Genomic DNA, 5,181 nt, shown 5'->3' with positions numbered 1-5,181 from the left:
CAGCCAGAGAACCACACCCACTGGAGAACTCTAGGTTCTCTACGGCCTCTTGTTACTGCCAGTGCTTGTGTGGTTTGAGGTGGGTAATGCAGCAGCCTCCTGCAGCCAGCCCAGGACTGGGCAGCATGGGGCCAGGTAGTTAGTGTAGGAGAGCGAGCCTAGGCTTGTAAAGCAAGACTTGGCTCTGTCACTGGGCAACTTTTTTATTTTTTTATTTTTTTTTGAGACAGAGTCTTGCTCTATTGCCCAGGCTGAAGTGCAGTGGCATGCTCAACCCCTTCCTCCCTGGTTCAAGCAATTCTCCTGCCTCAGCCTCCTGAGTAGCTGGGACTATAGGCACGTGCCACCACGCCTGGCTAATTTTTATATTTTTGGTAGAGAGGGGGTTTTGTCATGTTGGCCAGGCTGTTCTCAAACTCCTCCCCTCAAGTAATCTGCCTGCCTTGGCCTCCCAAAGTGCTGGGATTACAGGCATGAGGCACCGCGCCCAGCCTGGGCAACTTTGAAGAAGTTACTTAGCTTCTCTGAGCCTCAGTTTCCTCATCTGTATAACGGAAGCAATAGTGTCCATTTTGCAGGGCTAGTATGACGAGTAAATGAGAATCCTCATGAGGGCCTGGAAATGACAGTGTCATTTCCAGGTGGTTCTACTATTATCAGTGACTGATATTTGTTGAGCACTGACCATAGACTAAGTTTTGTGCTGAGCATTTTATATTTATTGTCCCATTTAGTCCTCCTAAAAATCTAATGAGATATGACTATCCCCAGCTTACAAATAAGAAAACTGAGACTCAAAAAGGCCAGCAAGTGACCCCAGATAACTGCACAAGGATGTGCAGAGAGTGAGCAACAGGACCCGAAGCTGTGGGCTCACACCATGTTCTTCCTGCCTCTTAAGCCCATGGTACAGTTGGTGGGTGCTACCTGAATTGAATGGATGTGCCTGTTGTTTTGAAGTTGGGGTCTATGGCCATACCACCCTGAACGTGCCTGATCTCATCTGAAGTTGAGGATAGGCATCATCTTTCATTTGAAAATGAAGAAACTGAGGCATTGGGACGTTAACTCATGCACAGGCAGCAAGTGGCAGAGAGTGAAAGGAACCAGCATTGATGAGTGCCTATTGTATGCCAAACACTGTGCTTACTTCAAGATCCTATGATCTGCTGGGTGATTTTAGAGATGGAGTTTCATTGACTTCCCACACTGCCCTGAAGAGGTCTTATTAGTATTAGCCCCATTTTACAGAGAAGGGAACTGAAGCTCTATGCATGTAATTAGACTCTGAAGGCTGTTGATGGATGGGGAAGAAGAGGGTCCCTCTCTGCTTTTAAGGAATGCATGGACAGTTATGATTCTGGCCTGAGAAGGAAACTGAAGGGGCTCTGTGCCCGTCCCACATACCCTGCCCCACCCCCAGGGCCTCATGGGTCCCACCAGGGGAGGCTCCTGGCTTCCCAACAGAGGAAGGCATCACTTCAGAAAGGGCTGTCCCCTCAGGCCTTCTGTAGGTGGCCGGTGGGGGTCTAAGTGTATGTGCCCTTCAATCCCCCTTCTCCATTCCCCTCGTCCTCCCTGTGCTCCTGTAATGCCCGCTGGACCACTGGAGAGCCCCCATAGAGAGCAAACAACAGCAGAGCACACAGCCGGCCTCCCGAGGGTACAGGGCTTGCCTGAACTCTCAGGTCTAGTAAAAGCGAGCTTCCTACAGAAATGCACAGGGGACTGAGATCAGAGTTGAGCGGGCCTGGAAGGATCCCGGGGAACAAACAATGCTGCAGGGAAGATGGAGGCCACCCTCGGCAAGCCATCCTTTCTGGTCCCCGAGGAGCCCTGGGGTGGTCCCTGGTCACTATCTTGAACATGATACTCTAGTCTTTTTGCTCACTTCCAATATCAGTAAAATAAACTTGAGCATGTATTCCACAATGTGAAGGTTTATTGATTTATAAATTCTATAAATGTGCTGCTGAGCTCATAAATGCATCACAACACAGACATAGAAGTTGGTATTTTACTAGGATAAGAGGAAATCATAACTAGAATTTCTGATATCTTCTTCCTACACCCCCAGCATTTTGTGGTGTGCCCCCTTTGGGCCTTGGGAAAGTGATGCAGGGCCTGCAGAGCCTGGTATTGTGCTGGGGCCTGGCTGCAATGGGACACTGCCCTTCCCTGCAAGAGGCCAGCGAGCAAGGCGTTTGGCACAGGCTTTGGGGTCAGACAGAAGTGAGTTCTGATCTCAGCTCTGCCTCTGAGGAGCAGTGTGGCCTGGGCAATGACTTGCCTCCTGGAGCCTCCGTTTCCTCATCACGAAGTGGGGGAGATAATCTTCCTGTGCAGAGGTGATGAGATGATGAGCCCAAAGACACAGCGCGGTGCGTGCCACGGAGGAAGTGGTGTTCGCTCGATAGTCCTGAATCCTCCTGCTTACCAACGAGCTCCCGGTTCCCACCCATGCCAGAGAGGTCAGTAGGTGGCCTGGATGCCTGAAGGTCCGTCCTAAGGTTGAAGTCTAAATAGGGAGAACGGATGACTTGGGAGAAACGTCTCCACAGCTCCTCCTTGGCTCTGGGCACAGCCTTTCTCTTGAGTGGTAAGTCGTACTCCTATGGCTCCAGGTAGAATTCCACAAAAAGAAACATATACGTACACAATTTTTATTTCATCCCTCTTCTGGCATCCTCCCAGTTCTACTCACACATGCTTGTGAGTCCCTTTGGTGACTTAGAAAGCACAGTAGAGCCAGCATAATCATTCTGCAGCGGTAGAATCTATTTTTAACCTGGAATAGCCCCACGGACAGGAGACCTGTACTGTCCCCCATTAAGGGGACTCCCCATCCTATGCCATTTATCAGGACTCACACAGCCCTCATGAGGCCACCAAAAAGACAGGACACCTCCCAAGCCACAGCTGCAGCCCTGAGAGGGAAACGTACAAGCTCCCCACCTGGAGGCAGCCTCTTCCTGAGTGAGCGGCGGGGTGCTCCGCCATCAACTTGTCAGTCATTCATCCGGGGAAGGATGGAGGAAGCCGCTGTTGACCGCTTCGCCCACACCCCAGGGTGGCTCTGAGGCGCTCCTGTGGCCTGGGACAGAATGTTTCTGTGAACAGCAGCCCATGGCCAGGCAAACACAGAACATCTCCCCTGGAAGACCCGCATTCAAAGGGCCACCAGATTAAACTCCCACTTCACACTGAGGGGGAGCTGATAAGCAATGTGGGGGGGGGGGGCGGTGCAGAGAGATTGGGCCTACAGGTGGAGTGCTTCTCTGGGAGGGGCAGCCTGCTCCTCTGGGAACCAAGCCACTGTTCTCTCCAGCACCCTTACCCCAGAGGACTCTGTGTCTGAGCTTTCTGAGCAATTATCAGCTTCCACTGCAGCTGCAGCAGGCACGTTGTTGGAGAGCCCAGCTGGGTTCAAGGACTCTTCCCTGGTGCAAGCCTGGATTCCAAAGACCATGCGTGTGGGGGCTGGGATAGATGCCCTCTAATTAGCCATGCACCCTAGTTATTCCCTTCCACACCTCTTTCCTGCCCTCCCCTCCTTTTCCCCTCAGAAGTGAAGGTGCTCATAGCAGTCATCAATGTGCTTACAGAGCATTTAGCTCAAAGTTGCATAATCTTTAACCTTCCCCAGGCCCCAGCCTGTCGGTCTCCACACCAGCCACTGTGAGGACAGGATGAATTCATTTGCAGAAGACAAGCACAAAACCTCCGATAGAAAATAAATGCAATGTACCATAGTAAATGGGAGCAGCTTAAAAAAAAAAAAGCACAAAATCCATTGGGGACCCTGTTGCCATAGGAACTGGCATTACAGCTTGCTTCCGATAATTAATGGAGGGTTTTGCTATTACAGTATTCTTGAAACTTCGGTTTCCCCTGTGCTGCACTGCAGAATGCAGCATCCTCTCCCCATTCATAAATATTTCATGACTACCGGCTGCTGTGTTTCATCACCGTGGATAGCACTCGGCCTAATCCACCCCTTGCCAAATTCATGTTGTCCTGTCAGAGAGCAACTTCCATTTCTTCCTCTTTCTTCTGCAGTCTTCATTTATCTGGTTTGAAGTTCTTTACCTTCCCAACCCCAGAATGGTGGCTTTCATTGTGGCTTTGTCTTCAGACGCTGGACATCTCTTTCCTGTGCCTGTCTTATTTTCCTAACGGTCCCGTGGGCCTCCCCCAGGGGCATTGGTTGTGCTCCGGCCGTACTGCCTTCTGCACATCTGCTTTAATGGAGTCCTGGGAGGATACTGGGCTTTTGAATTCTGGTGTCTCAACATGCTGGCTGAGCCTCTGTTCCCTCATGGTTAAGTAGAGATGCCACCTGCCCTGCAGGGTTGGAGAGAGAGAGCCAGAAAAGATACAACACGTGTAAAGTACCAGTCCCCCCACGGGTGGGCTCAAATGGTCACAGTGGCTGCTGGTGTTGGTTTGTTCTCTTATATCTCTTGTTTTTGTCTAGATAAAATCCGTAACTTTTTTTAATTGACAAAATTGTATGCATTTGTGTGTACAGCAAGTTTTGATATTTTGACATGTAGAATGGCTGATCCAAGCTAATTAACCGTGCATTACCTCACATACATTTTTTGTGATGAGAATACTTAAAATCTACTCTTAGCAATTTTCTAGTATACAATATATTAATTGTAGTCACCATGTTGTACAATAGATGTCTTGAAATTCTTCCTCCTGTCTAAATGACAATTTTAATCTTTTCATCAACATCTCCCCAAGCCCCCCAACCCCCAACCCCTGGTAACCACCATCCTATTCTTTGTTTCTATGAGTTTGACTTTTTTTAGATTCCCCGTGTAACCGGGATCATGCCGTATTTGGCTTTCAGTGCCTGGCTTATTTCACTTACCTAATGTCCTCTAGGTCCACCCATGTTGCAAAGAACAGGATTTCCTTCTTTTTAGAGGCTGAATAGTATTGCATTGTGTATATACATCATATTTTCTTTTTCCATTCATCCATTGATGGATACTCCCTGTCTTGGCTTCTGTGAAGAATGCTTCAATGAACATGGGAGTGCAGATATCTCTTCAACATACTGATTTCATTTCCTTTGGACATATCCCCAGTAGTGGGATTGCTGGATCATACGGGAGTTCTATTTTTAATTTTTTGAAGAACCTCCACATTATTTTCCATAATGGCTGC

At 48.9% G+C, this 5,181-nt stretch overlaps 1 long non-coding RNA gene across 1 annotated transcript; it reads right to left on the bottom strand.

The window, feature by feature from the left end:
- Positions 1 to 1,924: 1,924 nt before the first annotated feature.
- LOC124901250 (uncharacterized) lies at positions 1,925 to 4,945 on the bottom strand. Its single transcript, XR_007059424.1, has 2 exons — positions 4,883 to 4,945; positions 1,925 to 4,344 (listed from the first exon to the last, which is right to left on the bottom strand). It is a non-coding gene; the product is annotated as an uncharacterized LOC124901250 (long non-coding RNA).
- Positions 4,946 to 5,181: the final 236 nt, after the last annotated feature.

Source organism: Homo sapiens, chromosome 6 (assembly GCF_000001405.40).
Source record: "Homo sapiens chromosome 6, GRCh38.p14 Primary Assembly".
In the NCBI taxonomy this organism is placed as follows: domain Eukaryota; kingdom Metazoa; phylum Chordata; class Mammalia; order Primates; family Hominidae; genus Homo; species Homo sapiens.
This window is presented reverse-complemented; position numbering and strand designations above follow the sequence as displayed.